At 41.7% G+C, this 26236-nt stretch overlaps 2 protein-coding genes across 4 annotated transcripts in view, besides 5 other annotated features; both read left to right on the top strand.

The window, feature by feature from the left end:
- TPH1 (tryptophan hydroxylase 1) overlaps positions 1 to 8561 on the top strand; it is a 28715-nt gene extending 20154 nt beyond the window's left edge. Inside the window, exons 8-11 of the mRNA NM_004179.3 lie at positions 415 to 541; positions 2133 to 2228; positions 3185 to 3318; positions 4951 to 8561. Coding sequence (NP_004170.1) covers positions 415 to 541; positions 2133 to 2228; positions 3185 to 3318; positions 4951 to 5125 — 532 coding nt within the window. The 3' untranslated portion in view covers positions 5126 to 8561. The remainder of the gene's footprint in view (positions 1 to 414; positions 542 to 2132; positions 2229 to 3184; positions 3319 to 4950) is intronic.
- Positions 12352 to 12401: an enhancer, noted in NCBI's record as "active region_4489". NCBI's record gives its function as "activates an Ori minimal core promoter by ATAC-STARR-seq in GM12878 lymphoblastoid cells {active_cell/tissue: GM12878}" and the evidence as "EXISTENCE:reporter gene assay evidence [ECO:0000049][PMID:35858748]".
- Positions 12782 to 13401: a silencer, noted in NCBI's record as "silent region_3189". NCBI's record gives its function as "represses an Ori minimal core promoter by ATAC-STARR-seq in GM12878 lymphoblastoid cells {active_cell/tissue: GM12878}" and the evidence as "EXISTENCE:reporter gene assay evidence [ECO:0000049][PMID:35858748]".
- The window catches only part of SERGEF (secretion regulating guanine nucleotide exchange factor), a 225000-nt gene continuing 211832 nt past the window's right edge, over positions 13069 to 26236 (top strand). For all 3 annotated transcript variants that reach the window (NR_104041.2, NR_104040.2, NM_012139.4), the window contains exons 1-5: positions 13069 to 13165; positions 18040 to 18175; positions 19370 to 19525; positions 21581 to 21675; positions 25559 to 25619. Coding sequence is in view for 1 of the 3 variants with exons in the window: in NM_012139.4 (NP_036271.1) it covers positions 13106 to 13165; positions 18040 to 18175; positions 19370 to 19525; positions 21581 to 21675; positions 25559 to 25619 (508 nt within the window). In the remaining 2 variants the exon portion in view is untranslated. The remainder of the gene's footprint in view (positions 13166 to 18039; positions 18176 to 19369; positions 19526 to 21580; positions 21676 to 25558; positions 25620 to 26236) is intronic.
- Positions 13760 to 14276: an enhancer, noted in NCBI's record as "H3K4me1 hESC enhancer chr11:18033387-18033903 (GRCh37/hg19 assembly coordinates)". NCBI's record gives its function as "activates a minimal SCP1, AML or CMV promoter by ChIP-STARR-seq in primed H9 embryonic stem cells {active_cell/tissue: H9 hESC(primed)}" and the evidence as "EXISTENCE:reporter gene assay evidence [ECO:0000049][PMID:30033119]".
- Positions 14277 to 14794: an enhancer, noted in NCBI's record as "H3K4me1 hESC enhancer chr11:18032869-18033386 (GRCh37/hg19 assembly coordinates)". NCBI's record gives its function as "activates a minimal SCP1, AML or CMV promoter by ChIP-STARR-seq in primed H9 embryonic stem cells {active_cell/tissue: H9 hESC(primed)}" and the evidence as "EXISTENCE:reporter gene assay evidence [ECO:0000049][PMID:30033119]".
- Positions 15753 to 15812: a silencer, noted in NCBI's record as "silent region_3188". NCBI's record gives its function as "represses an Ori minimal core promoter by ATAC-STARR-seq in GM12878 lymphoblastoid cells {active_cell/tissue: GM12878}" and the evidence as "EXISTENCE:reporter gene assay evidence [ECO:0000049][PMID:35858748]".

Below are 26236 nucleotides of genomic sequence, written 5' to 3'. Positions count from 1 at the left end.
GAGAAAAATAAAGCTGAGAAAGGGGGATGGAGGAAAGTGTAGGTGGGTGGGAGTGTGTGTGTGTGTTGCTGTTTTGAAAAGGGTGATCAGGGAAGGCCTTGCTGAGAAGGTGATATCTGAGCAGAGATCTGATTTGGGTGTGTATGTGGTGGGGTTGGGTGTTGGGGGTTGTGGTTTTGGGAGTGGCATGTGGATGTCCATAGGTATCTGATGTGCACTTATATGTGTGAGTCTGAGTGGCCAAGGTTTTGAACCAAAATTGTTTCTTTATTTGATTAGTGTCCTTTGTGATCCATTACTAAAGTATTATCACCCGATCATTAGAATAAAATATTGGATTTCGATTTGATTGAATGGTTGATTATAAACGTATGTTAAGCACTGCAGCGTGACAAACTTGTACCTCTCTTTCAGAGATACCTGCCATGAACTCTTAGGTCATGTCCCGCTTTTGGCTGAACCTAGTTTTGCCCAATTCTCCCAAGAAATTGGCTTGGCTTCTCTTGGCGCTTCAGAGGAGGCTGTTCAAAAACTGGCAACGGTATAAATCTGGAATTAGCTATATTTTCACCTGGGGTAGGGTGTATGAGTATCTGTGTAGTTTAAAAGTACATATTCAGAATGACCATTAGAAAATTTGTCTTTGCTTGGAGGTTGCAGTGAGCCGAGATTGTGCCACTGCACTCCAGCCTGGGCAACAGAGAGAGACTCTGTCAGAAAAGAAAAGAAAAGAGAGGAAAGGATAAAAAAGAGAAAAGAAAGAGAAGAGAAGAGTAAAGAAAGGAAAAGAAAATTTGTTTTTGCTCATAATCTTTAATTCAAATAACATTAAAGAAGGATGTAAAATTTTAAGGTTTATCAAAAGGAGACATGAGCTTTAAAAAAGGTAGAGAAAAACAAGATTACAATAATAGGTTATCTATCTTTTATTTTCCAATAAAAAGGATAGGTTTCCTTAAAATTATGCTAAAGTGTTTTTGAGTACTAGGTACAAGACACTGTGCTGGAAATACAAAGATGAGTAAGGCCTGGTTTCTACCTTTAAGGAGCTTATATACTGTTTGAGGAGACAGTTATGTCAAATGAGATAGCCTATAGCAAAGTTCACATTGCTCTGGGAGCATAGAGAACCTGGGGAAGGTTTCCTGGGAGAAGGACATCTGGATTAGTTGATGGAAAATGAGTGATGTGCTCAGCAAGGAAGGAAGAAATGCATCTCAGGATGAGGGCACACAAGGAAAGACAAGGTGGTGCTTGGTGTGTCTGGGGAAACAGCAAGAAGCTGGAGCAGAGTGTCCAAGAGTGAGGGAGGCAGCGTGAAATAGAATAGTGCTTCTAAAACTGTGGTTTGGGGACCTCTGGGGTCCCTGAGACTCTTTTATGGGGTCCTTGAGGTCAAAATCATGCCTAGATAAAAGATCCATTCAAAGCACACAGTGGATTTTAATGTAACAGGCAGTTCATTGACATAATTCAGATTCCACATTGCCGTTGAACTTTTGAGAAACTCTATCCACTTGTTGAGTCTTCATGCAGAGTAAAAGGAGAATATCCACAACTATCCAAAAAGACTGTTAAGATATTCAATGCTTTTCTAACTAGATAACCGCATGAAGCTGATGTAACTCATGTACTCAAACAGTATATCCCAAAAGGTTAACTACAGAAGCAGACACGAGACTCCATCTGTCTTCTAGCCAGACATTAAAAAGGTTTATAACATTGTGAAACAATGCTACTTTTCTTAGTTTTTTGTTTTGTATAATATAGTTATTTGTATTAAAACATTCTTTGTTACCATAAAATGAGTTTATTAAATTTTAAAATGAATTAGCAAGCATTTTCCTCTCAGTTTTAATTTTTAATATGGCTAATATAGCTAGTGATAACCTACACATACACGCACAACAAAAGCTTTGGGGTCCTCTAATTTTTAATAGTACGTAAAAGTCATCAGAACAGAAGTTTGAGAAGTACTGGTTTAGAATGAGGTCAGATTGTAGAAAGACTTGTGAACTAGACTGGGATTTTGGACTTTATTCTAGGGTATTTTGGGTCAGTGACTAAGAATTGTAATTTGTTTTAAGTTGAATTCGTCAGTGTGTGAGAATAATATTGATGTTCTTTTGCAGTGCTACTTTTTCACTGTGGAGTTTGGTCTATGTAAACAAGATGGACAGCTAAGAGTCTTTGGTGCTGGCTTACTTTCTTCTATCAGTGAACTCAAAGTAAGAGTTGCAAATCTTTGTATATAACCATATTCACCTAACATAATTGATAAAACCTGAAATAGTTTTTGCTTTTGAACAAGAGCTTACTATGGAACATACTTGGGGATGTCACTAATCATTACCTGAATGTATTTTTCTCTATTTCCCAATTATATATTATATCATATAATCCAAATATGTGTGTGTGTATATGTATAGATAGATAGATAGATAAAATAAGAATTTTATAAGGGCATTTATGGGGAACAGCAAGCTACTTCTTTTGCTGGAGTATACTGTGGGTTGAATAGAGCTGTGGAAAATAAGTTTGGAATTGTAGGTTGGAGCCATTGCATTAGTAATACACACACACATGAAATATTTTGATATATTTCTGATATATATGAAATGGTATGTGTATATTTTAAGTAAAAACTGTTTTAAAATCTTTGCTTACAAAGTCTTGCTGTTTCCTCATCATTTCTGATATGCTAGCAATAACTTCTATAATTTCTAGGGAATTCTTTGAGATTTATTATTTATTCAATGAATAAATAAACTCAAGTTTGTTGAGTAATGAATGTGTATGAAACACCATCCAAGGTACTGTCTTGCTTTCAGGGAGCACTTGATGGTGGGTATATAAGTCATACATAGGAATAACTAGTGTTGGGTAGAAAGTAGGTGCCATAATACAGGAATAAATAAATAAAGATCCTTGGGTGCCTTTTACACAAAGAAGAGAGGAAGAACAAAGCCATGGAGAGGATCTTGGGGGTATTTACAGGGAAGGGCAAGCCATTTTTTTTGCTGGAGTGTACTGTGGGTTGAATAGAGCTATAGGAAATAAGTTTGGAATTGTAGATTGGGGCCATTGCATTAGTAATATGTTTAGAGGTGAGCCAATTATGGAAGTTGCATGATCTATGAAAAATAGATATTATTCTTTGATTCACTGACTCTTTGTCTTCTAGCATGCACTTTCTGGACATGCCAAAGTAAAGCCCTTTGATCCCAAGATTACCTGCAAACAGGAATGTCTTATCACAACTTTTCAAGATGTCTACTTTGTATCTGAAAGTTTTGAAGATGCAAAGGAGAAGATGAGGTACAGTATATCTTCTTCACGCCTTCATTTTCTTCAGGGAAAGATCAGCCCCATTATGGTAACAAGTCACAGAAGTAAGCAGCTAGATAATTTGAAGCCCACAAGGAGCCTTCTGTCTGTAACACATCTTCCTTTCATAACAAGTATCTAGAGTATGTTGTATATAAGGATTTTGCATAGTTGCAAATATGAATCAGATACATTGAGAAATTGTTTTCTTTCCAATTCTTCCAGTCAGAGAGTTTAGTAGTCTAATAGGGAAAATAGATGATATGCAAATTACTGTATAACAACATGGAAAATGACAAGAGCCTTGGAGAGATACAGATGAAACATTGTTCTGCATTTTATTCAAGAGCAATTCATTTCAGGTGGACAAACAGGGTAACCTTAATGTTATTTGAGAAAGGACTTGAAGGATAGGTAATATTTAGATATATTAAGTTTTAGACTGAGAGTTAGCATGAAAAAAGGTCAGGATGTTGAGAAATATAGGAGATATGTACAATGTAATCAAAGCTACGCTTTATTAATCAGCTAAGTGTGTGGTTAAGAAAGGAGGATATTGGAGGCAGAGAAACTTTTTAGAAGATTCTTGGAACACTTCAGGCGAAAATAAATGCCTGAACTAAGACAGAAGTAGTAGGAAAAGAAAAGACTTTTGAAGGAGAATCAATGAGACAACATTTAGTGGAAGCAGTCATGAGGTCACATTGTGATGATGGAGATCGATAGGGGTTGAAGTCATAGTCCTTGTCTTTCAGAGAAACCATTAGTTGGGGAGTTAGGCCATTCATGAAACCAAATAATAATACTAGCAGGGATTCCTCTAGCATAAATGTCAACTTTTTAGAAAAGGGGGTCCCCTCTGTAGACCAGGTGGATTATGAGTTGGATTTCAGCTGCTACTGATGTATAGTTGTCCTCAGCTTCACATTTATCCCTAGGAGTCCTGGACATGATTGTTCCTGGGGGTGCCAAATGAGAGGTTCAAACAGTGATTTGATAAAGGAGGCAGAACTTTAATGCTTGAAAAAGGGGCAGAATTTAGGTCATTTGAAAGGGGCCTAGAGGGAAACATTCTAAGCAGAAAAAATCTAACATGTGCAGGAGGTAGGACCATTCCTAGTCTATTTTGGGGTGTGTGAGTATGTGTGTGTGTGTGTTATATGTTATATAAACACACAGGTTACATATGTGAGTAGGTATAGTTATATAAGGCATGACTGAGGGATCTGTTACTATGTGGTTAAGTGTTGTAATGAAACAGTTTTACGTCTACTGATAAAACTACAGTAGTTGGTCTCCTTACTGTAGTCAAGAGATGTATACAGTAATAAATGATTAAGAAATCCATCTATGGGATCTTTCCCTAGTAATACCAGGGATTTACAACTACTTTATAATGTAAAGTACTTATAACTATTTTATAACTACTTCAGGTTTCCCACTTGTGTGGGATTCCAGGGGACCTCTGCAAATGTAGTGTAGAGAAGTAGGTCAGATTGGTTGTACACATATCTAACAAGAATTTGTTTTTTGCCTAGTATGTGAAATATATTCTGTTGTTTGTTTAGTTTTCATCATTCACTCCCTAGAAATTGATTGTCTCCTATTTGTTTTCTTAAATAGAGAATTTACCAAAACAATTAAGCGTCCATTTGGAGTGAAGTATAATCCATATACACGGAGTATTCAGATCCTGAAAGACACCAAGAGCATAACCAGTGCCATGAATGAGCTGCAGCATGATCTCGATGTTGTCAGTGATGCCCTTGCTAAGGTCAGCAGGAAGCCGAGTATCTAACAGTAGCCAGTCATCCAGGAACATTTGAGCATCAATTCGGAGGTCTGGGCCATCTCTTGCTTTCCTTGAACACCTGATCCTGGAGGGACAGCATCTTCTGGCCAAACAATATTATCGAATTCCACTACTTAAGGAATCACTAGTCTTTGAAAATTTGTACCTGGATATTCTATTTACCACTTATTTTTTTGTTTAGTTTTATTTCTTTTTTTTTTTGGTAGCAGCTTTAATGAGACAATTTATATACCATACAAGCCACTGACCACCCATTTTTAATAGAGAAGTTGTTTGACCCAATAGATAGATCTAATCTCAGCCTAACTCTATTTTCCCCAATCCTCCTTGAGTAAAATGACCCTTTAGGATCGCTTAGAATAACTTGAGGAGTATTATGGCGCTGACTCATATTGTTACCTAAGATCCCCTTATTTCTAAAGTATCTGTTACTTATTGCTGAATTTGTGCCAAGCTCAATCACATTCACACTAAAATTTAACAGGAGACCCTGCTGTCTTTGTTGCTAGCATGAGCAAAAGTATAGAGGCCTTTGCACATGGAGGATACCTAGTAAAGAGCAAGTAGTCTAGTTTCAAGTGTAGTATCTTGTAGGGAAATGGGAGTAGCTAAGCCTGGAAAGGTTGAATGGGGCATAATCATTAAGACTAGGCTAAAAATTCGAGACTTTATTTTTTAGGCATTAGGGAGCCCCTTCCCAAGTGACTATCTTCCTTGAAACTTTGTTTTCTTTCAATGACATCACACGATACTGGTTTTATTCTGGACTATCTATCCTACTCATGGGTCCAAGGGAAACTTAGTAGAGATGCGACTTGCATGGGGCTGTACTCAGACATGTGGTCCTAGGTATTATAATGGGATTGTCCCCAGATTAACAGGAAGCATTGTTATCAAAGGAAGAGTTCAAACTGAGATAGATAAGAGAAGCACAAAGTAAAAGATAGAAAAAACAGTGCTGAGTACTTTATTTCTAAGGTATAAGGTGAGGCCATAAACAGAAAGGTATGCAATGAGAGTAGAGGCTGCAGAAAAGGGGAGGAAATAGAATGTCAGAAAGGTCAAGAAGAGTGGTTTAGGACTGAGACTGTAAGTAATGTAAGGATTGCCAAGGAATGGTTTTTATGCAGAGTCAGCTGTGTAGCACAGGGAGTAAGCAGTCCTGTTATAAATGGGTGAAGCTGAACTCCAAAATACAAACTTATGTCTCTTTAATTTGCCCCTTTCCTCCCTCTAGTCACTAAATGAAGATGTTCTTCAAGTTTCTGTCTTTGCACTTCTACTCTTTTTGCCATCTCTTCATGGGGAATGTCACCCAGATACATGACTTCAGTTCTTATTTTGAATGACTCCTCTATTTGCAGTTATAACCCTGACATCTTTCTTGAATTTTTTTGCCCCTTAATTCCAACGAACTCCTGGATGTCTATGTAGATGTCTCATAATTTAGGCCAATGCTGTACAACTTCATGTGGCATCATCCACATAGAATGAATAGGGGTTGTTCAATATGACAGCCCTGCCAAGCATCTCAAATTGAACAGGTCTATAAAGGAACTCAGAATCACTTGAATATCACAGTCCATCAGCTTCCTTTCCCAGTAATTTAATTTCCATTAATGGTATATTAAACATCGTATTTTCAATCATTTTTAGGTTTAGTCAGCTACTTAAAAATAGGCTTTTTCTTCACATAAATAAATTGTATACCATTTAATGTGTTTTATTTCAACAGACTAATAGATCTTTTAACACTTCTTAGTCCTCAAAATAAATTATTAAAAACTTTGTATTTCATGTCATATTATATAAGGAAATAGAATTTTGAAGAATAATTCATGCTGTTTTAAATTTTTACATTGTACATTTTAATAGCTAATCAACTCTTAAGTATACATTTGATGGTAAATAGATGCTAGCTAATCTAGAATCATTTGAAATATTGATTATCTGATTTATAGTTTGGTTGCAAGGAAATCTACTGTAAGCAAATCATAATAGATAGCAAATCTTAGAACATGTAGAAAAAAAGAAATTAAAAAAAGCAAATCTTAGAACATGTAGAAAAAGGAAATTAAAAAATAGATAGCAAATAACACAAATTATGCATACTATATGTGGTTATTTTCATACAACTTTGATAACGGTGAAGAATCATACTTATTGAATTTTAAAATGATGATGTTTAAAATCACTCTATGACTAAAGCACATGAGAATAAATGTTAAAGGCACAGCCTTATAATCCACAACTTCAGAACAATGGAATTTTTTTTTTTTTTTTTTTTTTTTTTTTTTTTTTTTTTTTTTTGAGACGGAGTCTTGCTCTGTCGCCCAGGCTGGAGTGCAGTGGTGCGATCTTGGCTCACTGCAAGCTCCACCTCCCAGGTTCACGGCATTCTCCTGCCTCTGTCTCCTGAGTAGCTGGGACTACAGGCGCCCGCCACCACGTCCGGCTCATTTTTTGTATTTTTAGTAGAGACAAGGTTTCACCGTGTTAGCCAGGATGGTTTCAATCTCCTGACATTGTGATCTGCCCACCTCGGCCTCCCAAAGTGCTGGGATTACAGGCGTGAGCCACTGCACCCGGCCAAACATTGGAAATTTTTAATGATGGATTTCAGTTCTTCTCACCTCTGGGTATTTGTAATATTTGGTAAATCAGGAGTCCTGAGAGTCTTAGAATTTTCATGCATTTTAAATATATGTCTTCAAAGCACCTAGGAATATGTAAATAGTTACCCAAATGTGAGAACAGAATTGAACTAAAAGCTTCGTTTATAATTTTTTTTTTTTTTTGAGACAGAGTCTCACTCTGTTGCCCAGGCTGGAGCGCAGTTGCGTGATTTCAGCTCGCTGCAACCTGGGACTGCAGGCGTGCTTCACCATGCCCCGCTAATTTTTGTTTTTTTAGTAGAGATGGGGTTTCGCCATGTTGGCCAGGCTGGTCTCGAACTTCTGACCGCAGGTGATCCATCCGCCTCGGCCTCCCAAAGTGCTGGGATTACAAGCATGAGCCACCATGCCCAGCCGGTTAATAATTCTTAATCAGTAAATCATTATTCAAAGACATAGTTAATATCTTCATGACTTCTTAAGGATGCTCAAAAGCTGGTCTTCAGAATACCTACATTTCTTTATCTACATATTCTGTCATTTGGAGTTATACAAGTAGTAATGACACACCAAAATGTAAATAATTATTGTTAGCTTTTAAGTTGGCTTCCAAATTCAAAAAAGAAAAAAATCCTGAATTCTCTAAAGGAACATATGATAGAGTCCATATGTTAATTCATAGGAAGTGTTTAAGGTACTATGGTCTATTTTGGTCTAATCTTTGTTTTACTATGTAATATATATTTATGATTTACAAGTTTGTTATTCAGTGGGATAATAAATGAACACAAAATTTATGTTCTCAACCAATGTTTACTTTTTTTCAAACATACGTTAAAAATTTATTTAAAGTTACATTAGCAATTTTATTAGTTTAGGAAATCCATTGTATCTTTATACTTCTTAAAAAGCCTATGGATATGAGATAGAAGCCAAACATATCTGGAACCTGGTAACCACTTTTCAGAGTTCTTCGTAAAGTCTGTGTTATGTTCCTGTCAACGAAAAGAGTCAAACACAGTAAAGTATTTGAAGAGCCAAATATGAGTGACCATGGCCCATGACACAGCCCTTAGGAGACCCTGAGAACATGTGCCCAAGGTAGTCAGGGTACAGCTTGGTTTTATACATTTTAGGGAGACATGAGACTTCAGTCAAATACATTTATAAGATACACTGGCTCAGTCCAGAAAGCTGGGATAATTCAAAGTGTTGGGTGGGAGGTTTCCAGATTATAGGTAGTTTTAAAATTTTTCTAATTGGCAATTCATAGAAAGGAATGTCTGGGTTGCTGTATGAGTTTGTGGAGACCAGAGTTTTATCATGCAGATGAAGCCTCCAGATGGCAGGCTTCCAAGAGAACAGACTGTCAATTTTTCTTATCAGACTTAAGGTCTGTGTTGATGTTAATGCTGGAGAGGTATAAGGAGGCATGTGCGTGACCCCACTTCCAGTCATGGCCTGAATCAGTGTTTCGGGTTACATTTTAGAGTGCCCTGGCCTAGAAGAAAGTCCATTCAGATGGTTGGGGGGGGCCTTAGAATTTTATTTTTGGTTTACACTCCTCATCTGTAAAATGAACTAAGTCTACTACACTAGATTATTGGAGAAGTTATGCTGCAAGAGGACTTTGTAAAAAAAAAAAACTCATTTTCCACATGTAAAGAATTACTAATACAATCACTCTCTTAACAGATATTCCCCCTTAGCTTCTAGATGATTTTATCTTCCACAAGAGGGTATTAATTTTTGCTTCTAGTAGGCAGTATATAATGGCATGGTAAAGTCTGAGTCCAATTAGGGATTGAGCCAAAGAGAAGTTGAGCTTCAGTCTTTGTGAGGGCTGGTCTATTTCCAGTTCACCTTGACTTTTAGGGTGTAGCCCTTTAGGGATCTCAAGAGAAAACTATGAGTGTGTACCAGGGCTTCTCCTTGGGGGCTCTGGACTACTACTTTTGTCCCCTCCTTCATGTCCACCATTCCCTCCTCCCATCCCTACCCTATGAGATTGCTAAAGGTACTGCTCAGCTTCTTAGTTGTTGATTTCAGCCCAGTTTCTTAGCCTCCAAGACATTGCTTAGTAATTAGCAAGTGCTTCAAGCAGAAAAGTAGTGCCAAATATAATCTCTCAGCTTCCAGATCTTGGCCCTTCAAGTTCTTCCTGCTTTGATAGCTCTCCAATAACTTGAAATATATTTTAAAAATATTTTGTCAAATTTTCTAGTTGTTTTTTTATGAGAGAATAGGTATGCAGCTAGCTAATCTTCCTTTATCAAAAGTAGAAAACTGACCTTGAAGTAAATAACTACTTTGAGCCTCAGTTTTCTCATCTATAAAACAATGATCCTGGCCAGGCAAGGTGGCTCACACCTGTAGCCCTAGCTACTTGGGAGGCTGAGGCAGGAGGATCACTTGAGCCCAGGAGGTAGAGGCTGCAGTGAGCCATTATCATGCCACCTGCACTCCAGCCTGGGCAACAGAGGGAGACCCTGCCTCAAAAAAACAAAATAAGATAAAATAATAATCCTAACAGCACTTATCATACTAGTATTATTGGGATGATCACAAAAAATAATCCAACGGGAAAAAATTTCCTAACCTTCATGGTACAGAGATGCAATCTGTATGTTCTCAAATACTTTATACTTTCCTCTTTTGGGGAGATAAGCCATCTGAAAGTGAAGCCATTAGATGGTTTAAATCTAGTCCCATTCAAGAACTGCAATTCAGCCAGGCTGCTCATGGGAAGAACTAGGCAGTGGCGAGTACATAGTTGAAATAGTTGCAACATCTCAACACTTCCAATAAATTGTATTAAGGGATATGACATGATAATATAACTGTAGGTTAGTTAAAATATTGATGCTTGTACATTCAAGGGGTGGAGTCAGAAAACAACTATATTCTCCCAGACCTTCTCTCTATTAAAACTGGCTCTGTAGGTAGTTCTTCCTTGCCCTTCTGGATGAAATCTCAGGTTGCTGCCTGACTTTCTGCTTGCTCACAGGTAATAAAAAGTCCTTAGCTCCTAATTTCCATTTCTCTCTCTCTCTCTCTCTCTCTCTCTCTCTCTCTCTCTCTCTCTCACACACACACACACACACACACACTCTCTCTCTCTCTCTCTCTTTCTCATTTCAATATTTAAAAAGGCTAGTCCTGTGGAAAAACTTTGATAAAACAAACTTTAAGGTTGAAGCTTTTTTCCTCCTCCAGAACTGAGAAAGGAGTGGGTGTGCTTAGTTTCTTAATTTCCTTGTCTCTTGTTACTCAGTGGATGCCTGGGACTCCTCCAGGGTTGGGGAGATGTAGAGGGGAGGAGAGGTAAGGAGGAGAAAAGTTCTTTTTGGTCTGATACTGTTGTGAATTGTCATCAGTGCTTTCTGTACTTTGTAAATATTACATGCTGACATTTTCTTGTGGGCATTTTGGAAGACCTTCCCACCTTCTTATTTCTTGGGATTTCTTGATGTAGGTAAATGTATCTCTCTGGGCTGTTAAATTCATTTCCCTCACCCTCAAGGAATCTAGTGATCGACTGTCCTGTGGGTGTCACTTCACCCTTCCAGAAATTCTCTTGGACAAGGTCTAAGACCATCCCCCAGCCAGTTTGCTCAGGTATGGGAAATACTCACATGGGAAATGGACAGTTTTTATTTTGAAAAACTGTGGGTGTGAAAGACCTCCCCAAAGCATCAGTTTGTCTTTGCTCAGCTATTAGAGCAGATATCCAGCCACAAGCCCTTGTATTTCTCAGAACGGATTGGACAGAAGCCTGTCTGGGTCCTAAATCTAGAGGGATGCATACCAAGCTCTCTCAGGGACCCAGGTAAAGTAACTTTCCTTAGACCTGAGATGGGTTGAGACCCACACCACATTGATAATTGTGGCCACATATCCTACTAGAATTCTCTCTGGCCTCTCAACCTTTTTCGTAGACTGAAAGTCATACACTGGTTTCTAGACAGTTGCTTTGCAAGACCTGCTTTGGTGGTCTTGAACCTTACTTTATGATATAGGAGTAACTGGCACTTGTTGCTCAGCCAAAACTGAGCGGTGAAGGATCCCATTTTTACATCCTGTTACACATGCTTCAAAGAAATGGTCAGCACAAAAAAGCCCACTCATAAGACAGTCAGTAAGCATGGTATAGCTCCTGCACATTCAGATCCCTAGAGAATGAAGAGCTGTTTTATCTCTCCAAAGTTTGCTTTTTTCTTGGTATGGTCATCGACGTTCTCCAGATGCCACAGGTTGGAGAGATAAAGGTGAGGGGCTGCCCTCAAGTGGTCTTACAGGCAGAAACTCCTAAAAGTGGATGGAGTGAAAGAACAGGAAAGGACAGTGTAAGAGCTCATTGGAGACACTTCCCAGAAGCCCAGGGGTGAAGGGCAGTGAGTGCTGGAGGCCCGTGTCAGCAGAGGGGCCAAGTGCTACCGAATGTGAATGTGGATGATCATCTTTAATGTGACCCTATGTGTTCTGTATTCCCGGTACGCGGTGCCATATTTTCCTTCAGATAAATTGAACTTAATTAACTCCCATCAGCAACACGACGCTGTCTGAGAAAAGCCATTTTATATGGAAATGTTCGTTGGGTGACGATTATCCAGTATTATTAATAGAATGAGCTCAGGGCCGTGCCCGGAGCGCCGAGGCTGCCCCGGCAGGAGTCGACGCTAACCAGCCTCCCCCATTCAGCGTCGCGAGGCGCGGGTTCCCGCTCCGTGCCAGGTGCAGAGGGCGACACCGGCGACGTGCCACTCCACTCGCCTCCCAAGGCGCCCCCTCAGATGTTTGCGAACGCACACCAAAGCGGGCTCAAGACAATTGCGCCTGAGACGCCGGGCAGGACCCTGCCCTACCCCTCAGGCTCCATTTCCTGTTCCCGCAAATGGTGATGCCATCGCTGCCCTGTCAGCCCCTCTGGGCTGTCGTGGGCCTCCAAGGAGACAAAAACGCGAAGGAGCTTTGTGAACTGTGGCGCGCAGTGCACCTGCATGAAACATGAAATTATGACTAAAAATAAAGAGTACGAGGGGGTAGGAGCGAGAGGCTGAGAGGCCCAGCGAGACAGGAGGCTGCGGGCGGAGACGCTGCGAGCGCCGCCGGGGCGGGCTGACTGGGAGGCGGCTCCGGGGCTGTCGTCCGGCCCCGCCCACCACTGATCCCCAGTGGCCCGAGGGCCCGGCCGCACCCTCTCTCCCGGCCTGCGGGCCGCTTCCCACCACAGACCCCGCCCCGCGCCCTACCCATCACGCGTCCCCGGTCCGGCTCCGGCGCTCACCTACCCCCGGCAGGCGCCGCCCCCGTGCCGTCCCTCCCGGAAGCGCCGGCGGAGCGTCCTCGCATGGAGCGCGAGCCCAGCGCCTCGGAGGCCGCCCCCGCGGCGGCCGCGCTCTTCGCCTGGGTACGTGACTCCGCCCCCGGGCCGGTGCAGGCCCTGAGGGGCGCCGAGATGTGGGAGCTGCTGGCCGCGGCGTGGGCAGTTCAGGGGCTGGGCGGCTGAGGTCCGAGCCGGGCTCTGGGTTGAAGGATCCTGGGCTGGGAGCGGAGGGGGAGCGGAGGAGGAGCGGGCGGGCGGGGAAGGAAGGGTCTTCGCGGTCGACTTAGGGGCCTGCCGGCTGGCGGGGTCAGGGCCGGAGGGGCTGTGGCGCCGCGGGAAGAACCTGCCTCGGGGCAGAGCGTCTGGTTCCGCGAGAGCCCTCCAGCCCGAATAGCGCCTGGAAGACAGCGCGGAGGGCTCGGTGGAGAGGATCGCCCGGTCCCAGAGCTCCGTGGGGCCACCTGTGCCCCCCACACTCCTGATGCCTGGAGGAGGGAGACCCTGTCCCAGCCTGGCGAAAGCATCCTTTAGATGTGAGGCCTGCGGTGTTTGGCCGCGCACAAGGCACAGACCCTGCCTATTTGCTGACACTCTGCTGTGACCGGTTCTTGCATGTGTTGGGGGAGTTGGGCTGCTGTTGGTTTGACGGGAGCATTGGGAGAGACAGGGTCATCTTGATGTGTGTCTGGGAGAGAGGAGGGTTCATGCACAGGAGCGTGGCAGGTGGCCGACCAGCATGCACGGGAACAAGCAGTCGCTGCGTCTTGTGCTTCTTCATAGCACGTATCACAATTGTAATGATGTGTATAATTTATTATTAACGTCAGTCTCTCTGGCTGGAAAGTAAGTGTGGTAAGAGTGGGTGCTGTGCCTGTCTTGTTCACGGTGCCTCTCTTGGTGTCTGGCACATTGTAGGTCCCCAGTAAATACTCGTTGACGAATGAATGAACGAGCATCTGTGTGCCTACCCATGTGCTGGTGTTGGGGAAATACACATGAGTGAAATACACGAGTGAAGGACTTCCAGCTCTTGTGTTGGGGGAGAGCAAAATTATAACCTGTATTGCTGTTAAAATCAGTATTAGTTGTCCAATTTTTAAAGAAGTAATGATCAGTACAAGGCGGCAATTGTTGAATGTGGGGCTGCAATTTGGCAGGAGGGAGAGCATGGCGTGACCTGCGGTAGTCTGGCTGGCTGGGCGTCTTTGAGGTGGCCCGGGAGCTGGGGGTGGAGTTGGGGATTGAATGTGTGCTGTCTCTGGCTTTTTCCAGGCAGGAGACTGGCGTCTGTGTGGACAGAGGAAACAGAAATATTGTTTCAGTACAGACAAAGCCGAATATTAAAGGTTGTAAAATATGTTTAATAGGTTGTTGACACCCTTCTGCTGTGTTTGGAGGACTGGTAGTGTGTTTTTCCTGCTGTATAATCTGAAACTGTGGGGGTGTGTTGGTCGGCTAGGGCTACCATAACAAAATACCACACAACAGAGGCTTAAACAACAGAAATTTATTTTCTCACAGTTCCAGAGGCTAGAAGGCCAAGATCAAGGTGTGAGTAGGTTTGGTTTCTCCCGAGGCCTCTCTCTGGCTTGCAGATGGCCGCCTTCTCACTGTGTCCTCACATGGCTTTTTTCACTGTGTCCTCACATGGCCTTTTCTGTGTGCGTGAGCATCCGTGGTGTCTCTTCTTTTAAGGACACCAGTCATATTGGATTAGGGCCCCACCCTTATGACCTCATTTAACCTTAATTGCCCCTTTAAAGGCCTTCTTTCCAAATACAGTAAGGTACTAAAGGTTAGGGCTTCAACACGTGAATTTTGGGGGAATAAAGTTCGGTTCACAGGAAGGGGATTTACCTTGTTAGGGGTGTGTGTGTGTGTGTGTGTGTGTGTGTGTATGTGTGCATGTGCACGTGTGATATGTCTGGAGTGTTTGTGAGGAAGAAAGGCAAACAACAGTTGTAATAGGTTGTGTTAAATTTCCCTTCGTCTTGCTTTATCCTGGATTTAGGGCCTCTCACAGTGTTACAAAAATTGGTACCGTAATTTGAACCTCAGAGTGCCCATGTGTCATGTTACTTTTCTCCCAGGTGTTCAGCAGCCTTGCACCCCTGGTAATGGGACAGCCACGGAGATCTCAGGGCTGACCAAGAAATCCTGTGCATATATGCTCTATATTCCCCTTCATGCTGAGCAAGTCTTTCATAGGGTCTTACATTCATTCGCCATATAAATATATGTACATCTTCTTTGGGCCAGCACAGTTTCAGATGCAGGGGAAACAGCAGTGAGCAAAGCAGAGTTCCTGCCCTCCTGGAGTTTAGTTTCTGGCAGGGGTGGTGTACAGTAAACAAGTAGTCATATATAATGTAACATCAAGAAGTGGCATGAAGAAAAATAAAGCAGAAAATGAGTGATATGGGGATGCTCTTTTAGATAAAGTCATACAGTTAACCACCTGTCAGGTAAGCTCTGGGCTGCTTCACTGTATGTCCTTTTTTTATTTTTTCTAAGAGACACAGTAAGGTATAGTAAAAGGTGCAGGGCATCAGACTTTTTGCCTACCCAGATATAACTATGGAAAGTTACTTAACCTCTCTGAGCCTTAGTTTCTTCCTCTGTGAAATGGGAGTAATAATGTCCTTCTTAGTTGTTGTGAGGATTAAAGGTGAATGCACAGTATGGAGAGAAGCACTCAGTAATTGGTAGCTAATATTGCCCCCTGTGGGCTTCTGGGACTTATGCCCCTGCTATGGCTTACTCTTCCATCTTTGAGTCCTTGCAGCCCAGGATGGCTGTGAAATAGACTACAAGGGGAAGGATTATGTATGTATGTATGTAAGTATGTATATATGTATTTGTTGTAATTATTTTACATCACCTTTCCTCATTCAGGTGTCTTCAAAAACAAACATATTTAAAAGATTTTACTTCTCATCTCCAGGAAGAACCAGCTAGGAGTAGGTACTTGAATAAATTATAAAGATTTCTGAAATCTTAGTAAGATTCTCTCTGCAGGTCCACAATCCCTTGTCTTCAATTCTGAATACAAAAAGCTCTGAAAACCCAAAACTTACTGGACATAAGGCCATTTATAGTCTTTGGCCACTTCTTATGAATATTTGTACTTTGTAATGCAGAAATATTATTGTTTTGCTTATGGGCTGCTGTCCCTGGACCTTGCATCAGTATATATGACATATGTACTGTATTACTTTTCTAAAAGCTGTAAAATTCTGAATCTGAAATACATCTGACTGTAAGCATTTCAGATTAGGGATTATGGACCCTTTTTGTATAATAATAATAATAATAGACATATTGCCTGTCAAGGGGAAATCTGTCCCCTTACTGGAATCTCACCATGTGAATCTTGGAGTCACATAGCACTGTACTTGGAAAGGGCTTTAGAGATCATTGCCAGCCTCTTTCACTGTACAAATGAAATAATGACGTGCCTTGCTTTAAGGCAAGAAATCCTTAGCCAGCTTTGATTCCAGAGTCATTGTTGGTTTTCCCATCATGGGTGTGGGGAGGAGAAACAAGAACTAATTCCAGGATGTTGCCCTCCCATTTTGATGCCATTTCTCTCTCATTTTTTTCTTTCCTTAGCTTCCCTAGGTAGTTAGCTTTTATCAGAAGGAACCCCTGTGCTGTCTCCAAAAGGCAGTACCTGGGGGCTGGAGCATAAGAAGGGAAAGATGAGGAATATTACTGGCTGAGTTGTGGATGCCTAGGACTCTTCTCATATCGAAATCATGGTGTTCTGAGGATGGGGCCTCCATCTAAATATGGGAGCATATAACAGCCGTTAAGAATGAGCCTAACAGGTCATTTCCTCTTTGGTCAGTTTCCCACTTGACAAAGGAAGGGTAAGATTTACATTCCCAAATGCTCCAGAGTCCTTCTGGTGAGCGAATTATTATTATTTTTCTTTTCAGATTTTGGGGAAGGGATTTGAGGAGGGAAGAAAGGAGATGGGGTAAGAGTGTTTCTAAGTCTGAAACTCTCTCTGTCCTGAGCTGTTCCCGTGGTTACTCAAGGACAAGGGGAGACAGTTTTGCCCACAGCTCCAGAGACACAGATAACAAAGGAATGACCTTCATTTTTCTTCAGGTTGGACCCTGTAGGGGTCTGTGAGCAGCTTCTCCTGGAACTTTGTTTGGATTCTGTGTCCATATTTATAATTTATTTGAAACACGCTGGATAGTGTTCTCATTTGGGGGCTGAAGTTCAGCTAGGGAAAGCAGTGAGGTGGCATGGGTGCAGGAGGAGGGGGTAAGGAGAGATACGAGATACACCTGCCAACGACTCGTAGCCCAGAACTCTCTCTAGAGAAGAGAAGCCCCTCCTCCTCAAGAGGCTGTCTTGTTCTCAGTCAGAAGAACCTTGATTTAGGAGATGGCCTCTCTTTTCCTGGCCATTCTAAGAGGAAAGGCCATTTTACCCCATTACCTCCAGAGGGTTGGGCTAGGCCAAGGACCTCATAGGACTCATGTCCCCTTCAGCCATGGCTAGCATTGCTGCTTTGCCTTCTGGGGCCTGAGGTAGAAAAAAGTGTGGTTTCTTCAGCTGCTGCAGGAGGCCAAGCAGGGCATTTGTCCTTTGCCCCAGTAAATTAAGCCTGCCAGGGTGCCTACCTAGGAACTTTCCTGGACATGAATTTCCTCCACTGTTATGGTCATGAGTCTCTTTCTAATGGGATTACAGATCAGGGGTGGGGAGACAGTGTTACCTGTTGTTTTCTGGTGCTTGTTATTATATATTTGAATAAACAGTGCTGTGAGTATTTGCCGTGAAGGAGCTAAAAATTTTTTTTTAAAAAAGAATGAGCCTAATAAATCTCATCTGTTACAGGGTCTGAGAGATACGTCAGGGTGAGAGAGACAGAGACAGGTAAATAGACATTGACAGTTGTGGTTCCCACACTTTTTCATCCTTGGCTTATTCATCCCTAGGGTGCAAATAGCTATGGGCAACTTGGCCTCGGCCATAAGGAAGATGTGCTGTTGCCCCAGCAACTGAATGACTTCTGTAAACCCAGGAGTGTCAGGAGGATCACAGGAGGAGGGGGCCACTCTGCAGTTGTCACAGGTAATTTCCTTCAAAAGTAGATAGTCACTCATTTTCTTATTTAGACGTTTTCCCCTGGATATGATATTGCCATCTTTCAGCCTTTTGTATTTTGCAGAGGAAAATAATGTATTTTTGTGAAACATTTTTGTGAAAGAGCCAAATTACCATCAGAAGATCCTAGATTTTCAGGGCTAGAAGGACTTCAGAGATCTTCTAGGCCACCCCTTTCCCCCACCCCCTCCATTATACAAATGAAACTCAGAAAGGAACACTGATTGCTTAACATCACAAGGCAAAGTAGTGGCAGAGTTACAATGTATATTTTACACCATAGGAATTAGAAGTCTTTGTAATTAGATTGGATATTCCTTGAGAGCAAAAACTGTGTGTTCCCCTTAATCTTCCCTTACTGTATCTAGGATAGCACTTAACAAGTAGTACAAGTGCTACAATGTTGTAAAGGGGGGCATATTGCATCTGGTTGAGAACATGAGCTCTGGAATCAAATCTCTGGGTTCAGATCCTGGTTCTGTGACTTATTATCTATGTGGCCTTGGGCAAATAGCCACAGTTTCTGAATCTGTTACATGAGGATAATAATGGTGGGTGAAGAGAACCAGTGAGTTAGCAGGGCTCCATTCCGACTGTCATGGGTCGTTGGTGCTTTTCCCTTTATGGACCTCTTCCTTTGTAAAGAAAAAAATTATATTTTACAACTGTGTTGGTATAAAGATGGATATTAATAGAATCCACTCCAGATTTAGTGTTATATATGCATTGTTACTATATTATCTTTTTCTCATTTAAAAATAACTAAAAATTAAGCCACTCTGTGGGCCTCTGAAAGCATTGTGGGCCCTAGACACTGTGCCTAAAGGATAAGTCCGCTCTGCACAAAAAGCTCTTAAAACAGTACCTGGCACGTTCTCAATGTTGAATAAATGTTGTTGGCTTTTTGTTCCAGTAGATGCTCAGTTTGGTGATTGATTGACCACTGCGCCAAGACTTGAAGTTTCTCTGTAGGTATTAGTTTGAGGCCCTTGGCCTTGTGTTGTTTGGCTCCAGAATACATGAACATACACAGCTTATTAACTTGGATGGCAAAAAAAGTTATTGGTCTGAGAGTCCAAATAATTAGTGAAATCTTTTTGTTCATTTTGCAGTTGTGTTTTTTCCTGTGCACGCTATCACTGATGCCTTTATATTTTGCAGATGGAGGAGACCTCTTTGTTTGTGGCCTGAACAAAGATGGGCAACTGGGGCTTGGTCACACAGAGGATATCCCATATTTTACCCCCTGCAAATCCCTCTTTGGCTGTCCCATCCAACAGGTGGCCTGTGGCTGGGATTTTACGATTATGCTCACAGGTGAGTTCACTCCTAGGTAGATTTTTGTCACCACAAAGGCTTTGGGTGAGAACAGTATGATGATGGTGACTGCAGATTAAATGAAAGCCTCTTTGTGTTTAAAAAGCACACATAAGGCCTGGTGCGGTGGCTCACAATTGTAATTCCAGCACTTTGGGAGGCCAAGGCAGGTGTATCACTTGAGGTCAGGAGTTCGAGACCACCCTGGCCAACATGGTAAAACCCCGTCTCTACTAAAAATACAAAAATTAGCCAGGCGTGGTACCCCATGCCTATAGTCCCAGCTACTCTGTAGTCCCAGCTATTTGGGAGGCCGAGGCAGGCGAATCACTTGATCCTGGGAGGTGGAGGTTGCAGTGAACTGAGATTGCGCCACTGCACCCCAGCCTGAGCAACAGAGCAATAATCCATCTCAGAATAAATAAAAATAAATAAAAAGCACACACAAATTTTCCCTCTGGTTGTCAAGGAAAGTTGTGGACTACCTTTTCTAAGGAGAGTTTAACGGTAAAGGAGACTGGGATTGGGGTGGAAAACTTTTGTCAGAGAGTAGGGAATAGACTAGATCACCTTTGGTGGCCACTTCCTGTCCCAAAAGTTCATGATAGCTGTGTGCTTGGGGTAGCTGGCCAGTGGCCAGCAGTGGCAGCAGAGGGTTACTTACAGGGAATGTGGTAGGAGAATATGAGGCAATAGTGGTTGCCAAAGCAGTGATGGCAGCTTTTTCACACTGTGGGATTTTTTTTTTTCTAAATGTGTTAGGCAGATCTGTTTGGTCTTTGTGAAGCCAGGTAGCAGGATAGGATATGGCCAGAGGGTTATTAGAGTAATGCACTTGGGAACAGCCAGCAGTAGTTACCTTGTCAGCTGACGTCTGTTCCCTTGAAGCAGTTTTGACCTCTCTGTTCAGCTTTGCTCTGTCTAGCTGGCCATTCTGGATTTAAAGGACCATCTGTGGTTTCTGACCAGGCTCCCTCTTTGCCACGGTCCTTTGGCAAGGGCATCTTCTGTCACTCTCCTGTCATAAACCCTTGTGGATTCTCCCAGACATAGCTCAGATTCCTAGCTTTTTAGCGTTGGCCTTCTGTAACTGTTCCCTAGCTATCTTTGTGCTGTGTCTCTTATTCTCCACACTCCTCATACTTTTCTTTCTGGTCATACCAAGCAGTATATGTTCTTCTGTCTGTCTGGACCAGCCCCTCTTGTCTATCTGATGGACTCGAATCCCAGCTTTAAAACCCTGCTCAAGTGTCACCATCCTCCTCTGTGGAGGGGTTCTGTAATATGTGTTGAATTTGATGGTGATTATTAGAATCTAAACAATAACTATCATTTATAAGGTGTTTATTGTGAGCCTATGTTTTGGATTGTAAGGAGTCAGTAGATAATGCTCTTTCCTGCTCACATTTGGAGCCAGTTGTGAGAAAAGCACAGAGAAGTCAGTATTGGAGATTAAAAACTATTGGCTTTTCACTGGTAAAGGCTAAATTGGAGGACAGTATTAATTATGAGGCCAGTGGTCCTAATATTCTTCTGGTCCAAACTTACCCCCAAATCTCTAGGCTTTCCCCACAGGGAAATGCTTCCTATGTGTCAGCCTAGAATGACTGAGAGGGAGGTGCCAAGCCACACATGTCCTGTCCCATCTCCTAAACTCACCAGTTGGTTACATGACCGCTGTCCCCTAGAAAGCAGTGAGGATGGGGAAGGGCAGGGAGAAAAGCTGGAGTGTTGTTTTACTAATGGAAATTTTGTCACATGGAAACATGAAAAATGAAAAATTACTATCCTCCCATCCCAATACGAGGCACTGAGTTAAGTGTTCTACACAGATAATCTGTTATTAATGAGAGAATAGAATAGACAATCTGTGTAGAGTGCTTAACCTGGTGCCCAGTGTTTTCATTCCTAGAGGAATAAAAGCAGGGAATATGGTCTGAATGCACTGAAGCACTTCCCCTCATCCCCTTTGCATCTCTCACCCTGCAGCATTTACCCATTGGTCACAGACATCTTACTTCATAGATTTGCAATTTAAGTATTTGTATTTTGCAGAAAATGGTCAAGTTCTATCATGTGGATCCAACTCCTTTGGCCAGTTAGGAGTTCCTCATGGACCTCGAAGATGTGTGGTTCCCCAGGCCATTGAGGTGAGGACAGTTAATATTTAGCTTGCCCATGACCTGTTAAAGTGTTTCCAAGGTATTAACCTATCTCTCCCCAGAATAAAAGGCTGTCAGGATCCCTGAGAACCCATGGAGTAGGAGAATTTGAGTTGAAAAATAGGTCCTTCTGGGAAAAATTAAGTTGGGAGGTAAACGTTGTGAATGAAAACCTCTGTTAGTTTTCATACACTTCATATGAAGTTTTGTGAAATAAAACAATAAGAGTAATACATCTCATAAGGATATTGATGACATTTTACAGTTCTAAAATTAGTAATAATGGAAATTATGTTAGAAATAGGTCCAGATAGAAGTGATTTGTCGAAAGACACTAAGCTAGGCAAATGGTATAGGCCAGTGCTAGCCAGTAGAAATATAATGTGAGCCATATGTAATTTAAAATTTTCTAGTAGCCCTATTTAAAAAAGAAACAGGTGAAAGTAATTTTTAAAATAACAGCATTATTGAGCTGTAATTCACATACCATAAAATTAACCCCTTTAAAATGTATATCCACAGAGATGAGCAACCAATATCATTATCTTATTTTAGAACATTTTCATTACCACCAAAAGAAACTATGTACTTAATAGCAGTCAATTCCTATTCTCCCTTCCCCTCAGCCCCTGGTGAGTACTAATCTACTTTTTGTCTCTATAGATTTGCCTGTTATTTCAGCATGTCATCAGTATAAAGTTATTTTTTGTTTTTATTTTTATTTTTGAGATGGAGTCTCACTCTGTTGCCCAGGCTGGAGTGCAGTGGCGCGATCCCGGCTCACTGCAACCTCCGCCTCCCAGGTTCAAGCAGTTCCCTGCCTCGGCCTCCCGAGTAGCTGGGATTACAGGTGCCTGGCACCATTCCCAGCTAATTCAGTATAAAAATTATTAACAAGGTATTTTATACTGATTTTGTACTAAGTCTTTGAACTCTGGTATGCATTTTTTACTTACAATATGTCTCAGTTTAGTGTAATCACATTTCAAGTTTTCAAGAGCTATGTGTAGGTAGTGGCTACCATATTGGACAAAACAAGTGTTAAACAGGACTCTTGGCTCTAGTTCAGAGCTCTTTACTTCAGTGCATCATACTTAAAATCACCCCTTTTTGTGAAGTTTATATTGTAAGTGATCATAATAGGAATATAGAATTTTTAAAGAAATATGCTTGAATCAAAAATGAGTTTTACCACCTAAGCTGTCCCACTCCGATCTAATTTCCCTAAACTCTGATTAATAGTGGGAGATGTTTTTTCCCTAGAGAAAGCTTGGGTCTGCCCCTGCCAGCTTGCTGAACTCAGTTGTTGGTCTGTGGACTGTTATTTCGGGTCATGGTTCCCATGGTATGCACAAAGTCTAGGCTCTGTAGTCCCTGAAGGAAGTATTATAGCTCCCAATTGCAAATAGATGGCCTTGTAAGCACCTACATATAAGTTATAATTAATTTAGCTTAATTATACTTTATATAATTAAGGAATAGAGGAACAATGGTTAAAATATGTTGGTTGACAGAATCAGAGAGTAAAAACATTTTGACAGGTGACATTCTATGCAACAATAGGAGCAATGTGCCAAAGAGAAATTTAATAGAAATTCATTCATTTATTTAATGACAACCATTATGTGTAGGTACTATGTTTAGGCAGTGGGAGCAAAGTTGAATAAGACCTGTCCTAGCAGTTGAGAGTTTTATAGTTTGGTAGGACATGATAGGCACATAAATACTTAAATGTAATACCATGTCAGAACTATGACAGATGCATGTATATCCCCAAAGGAGGGAGTTTTGAGCATCTGGGGGAAGGTGGGGTGAGAAGAGGCTTAAGCTAGGTCTCAAAAGTTAAATAGAGGTTTACCCGTCTTGGGATAGGAGGATGCTCAGAGTGGGTGCAAAAGAAGAACATTCTAGGCAGAAGGAACCATGTAAGCAAAGGTGCAACGGAATGAAACAGGAGAGTTTGGGATATCGTAAGTAGTTTAGTATGGTTGGAATATAAGGAAGAGGTGGAAGTTCCAGGGTAGAGTGGGTGGGAATGGGGCAATCAGGGTGGTTGTATGTGACACATGGTAAGAACAACATGGTAGGGAGGTCAGATAGGAAGATGGATTGAAGGAAGGTTACTGAGGAAACTCTTGCTAACAATCCAAATGAAACAATTGTGGCTCAAACTAAAGCAGCAACAGTTGGGATGGAGAGTAAGAGGTGGAGGTGAGTGGTGTTAAAGAGACTGAAGTCACATGTAAAGCCCTTCAGTTAGTTTTTTGGGGAAAAACAAAAGAAAAATATAAAGGACAATATGTTCAAATTGTATTAACGCTAAGATTTGATCTTCTCGTAAGCTAATGTGATTGTGGACTCCATTGACAGAAGTATAGTTTCCAGAAGAAGGAAGGCCAAAGCTCAGCCCTTTCTGCTGTTCAGCCTGCATCTGGGATGTTGTGTTTTGTTGTGGATTTGGTGCTTAGGCCCTGGGCATAAAGGTATATAAGACTCAGGTCCTGCCCTTGAGGGTCCTAAAGTTTAGAAAGACACTGTGGACCTGTAAATAAACAAATGTGGTAAGCCTTAATGGGGTTATGATTATGCTATAGAGTTCCTTTAAAAGAGAAAGATTGAACAACTAGAGCATATTTAGAGAAGTGAAGACCAGGAGGGGAAGGGAATTTGAAATCCAGTGATGGCTGATGAATGGGGGATATTTGCTTTGAAGAAAAGATCTTCATTAGTTATCTATTGCTGTGTAACAAATTACTGCAAACCTTAGCAGCTTAAAACAGCAAACATTTATTATGTCACAGTTTCGGAGAGTCAGGAATTTAGGAACAGCTTAGCTGGTCTCTCATGAAGTTACAGTTGAGATGTTAGCTGGGTCTGCTTGCAATCTCCGTGGACCTGTAAATAAACAAATGTGGTAAAGCCCTAATGGTTTCATGTTCCTTGCCATGTGGACCTTTCTATTGGACTTTTCAGACATAGCATCTGGTTTCCCCCAGGAGTGATGAGAGAGAGAGGGAGAGATGCTAAGCAGGAAGCCTTAGTGCCTTTTTTCGCCTAGACTCTGAGTCACTCATTGCTGCTTTATTCTCTTTATTAAAAGCATGTCACTAAGTCCAGCCCACACAAGGGGAGGGGTATTAAGCTCCACATCTTGAAGGGAGGAGTAGCAAGAATTTGAGGACCTATTTTTAAAACCACTACAAGATGTCTTAGAGAGGACATGACAACTGTCTTCAAATATTTGGAAAGCATTGTCAGAAGCTGCAGGCAGATAGGTTTGGTTCCACCTAAAGAGATAAATGGAACTGTGCAAAAATGGAACAGGCACCTGGGGAAATGGCGATCCCTATGTCACTGGGGGTAGGTGTTTGGCAGGAGTTGGATGACCACTTGGTGGGGTGTTGTTGGATGGAGATTGGACTAGATCATGTTGGGAAACTTTGAGCCCTTGGTAAATAAAGTCTTACTGGCACACAGTCATGCTCATTCATTTATGTATAGTCTAGAGCTGCTTTTATGTTACAATGGCACAGCTGAGTAGTGTGACAGAAACTGTGGCCTGTAAAACATTTACTAACTGTCCCTTTACAGAAAACATTTACTAACTCTTGGACTAGATGACCTTAGAAGTGCCTCCCAGCCCTGAGAGTTGTTGTCATATGGTATTGTGATATGGTATTTTAAAAGATATATTTTTTTCTTTTAGGGATAAATGTAGAGGTATTAATGGGTGGAAATATTGGGGGGAGTGGTTGCTTTAAACCAGTCAGACCCATAATGAGGACCGTACTGCATTGTATTTGGTATAAATTACATAAAATTTTGTAGATGGATGGTTCTGAGATCTAAATCCTTTTCTTTATTTTGACAGCTCCATAAAGAGAAGGTTGTTTGTATTGCTGCTGGACTGAGGCATGCAGTAGCTGCTACAGGTGATCATCTTATCTTTATTTTTTTATTTTTATTTTTAATACTTTTTAGAGATGGGGTCTCACTCTGTTGCCCAGGCTGGAGTGCAGTGGCTCGATCATAGCTTGCTGTAGCCTTGAACTCCTGAGCCCAAGCTGTCTAACTGCCTCAGCCTCCTGAGTAGCTAGAACTATAGGTGCATGCCACCATGCCCTGCTAATTTTTAAGATTTTTTGTAGAGACAGGGTCTCGCTATGTTGCCCAGGCTGGTCTTGAATTTCTGGCCTCAAGCAATCCTCCCGCCTTGGCCTTCCAAAGTACTGGGATTACAAGTGTGAGCCACTGTGCCCAGCCTGCCCTCCGCCTTTTAAAATAGGTCTGTAATAAGAGGAAACTTAACTTTAGGAGAAAAACCATTTAGGAAATATTTCAAAGGGTCCTGCTGCATTGTGGTTCTGATGAAAAGGAGAGAACATAAGGCAGAAGTCATGTAGGAAAGACATTAGCAGGTAGAGAGGAAGGAAATGAAGTTTTCTAGCTCTTTGTGTTCTAGGTATGATGCTAGGTGCTATTTATTTGATTACTTTATTTAATCCTCACAACCAGGAAGTGATGCGAGTTACATTTTACATGTGAAGAA

The sequence above is a fragment of the Homo sapiens genome, chromosome 11 (genome assembly GCF_000001405.40).
Source record: "Homo sapiens chromosome 11, GRCh38.p14 Primary Assembly".
Taxonomy (NCBI): domain Eukaryota; kingdom Metazoa; phylum Chordata; class Mammalia; order Primates; family Hominidae; genus Homo; species Homo sapiens.
This window is presented reverse-complemented; position numbering and strand designations above follow the sequence as displayed.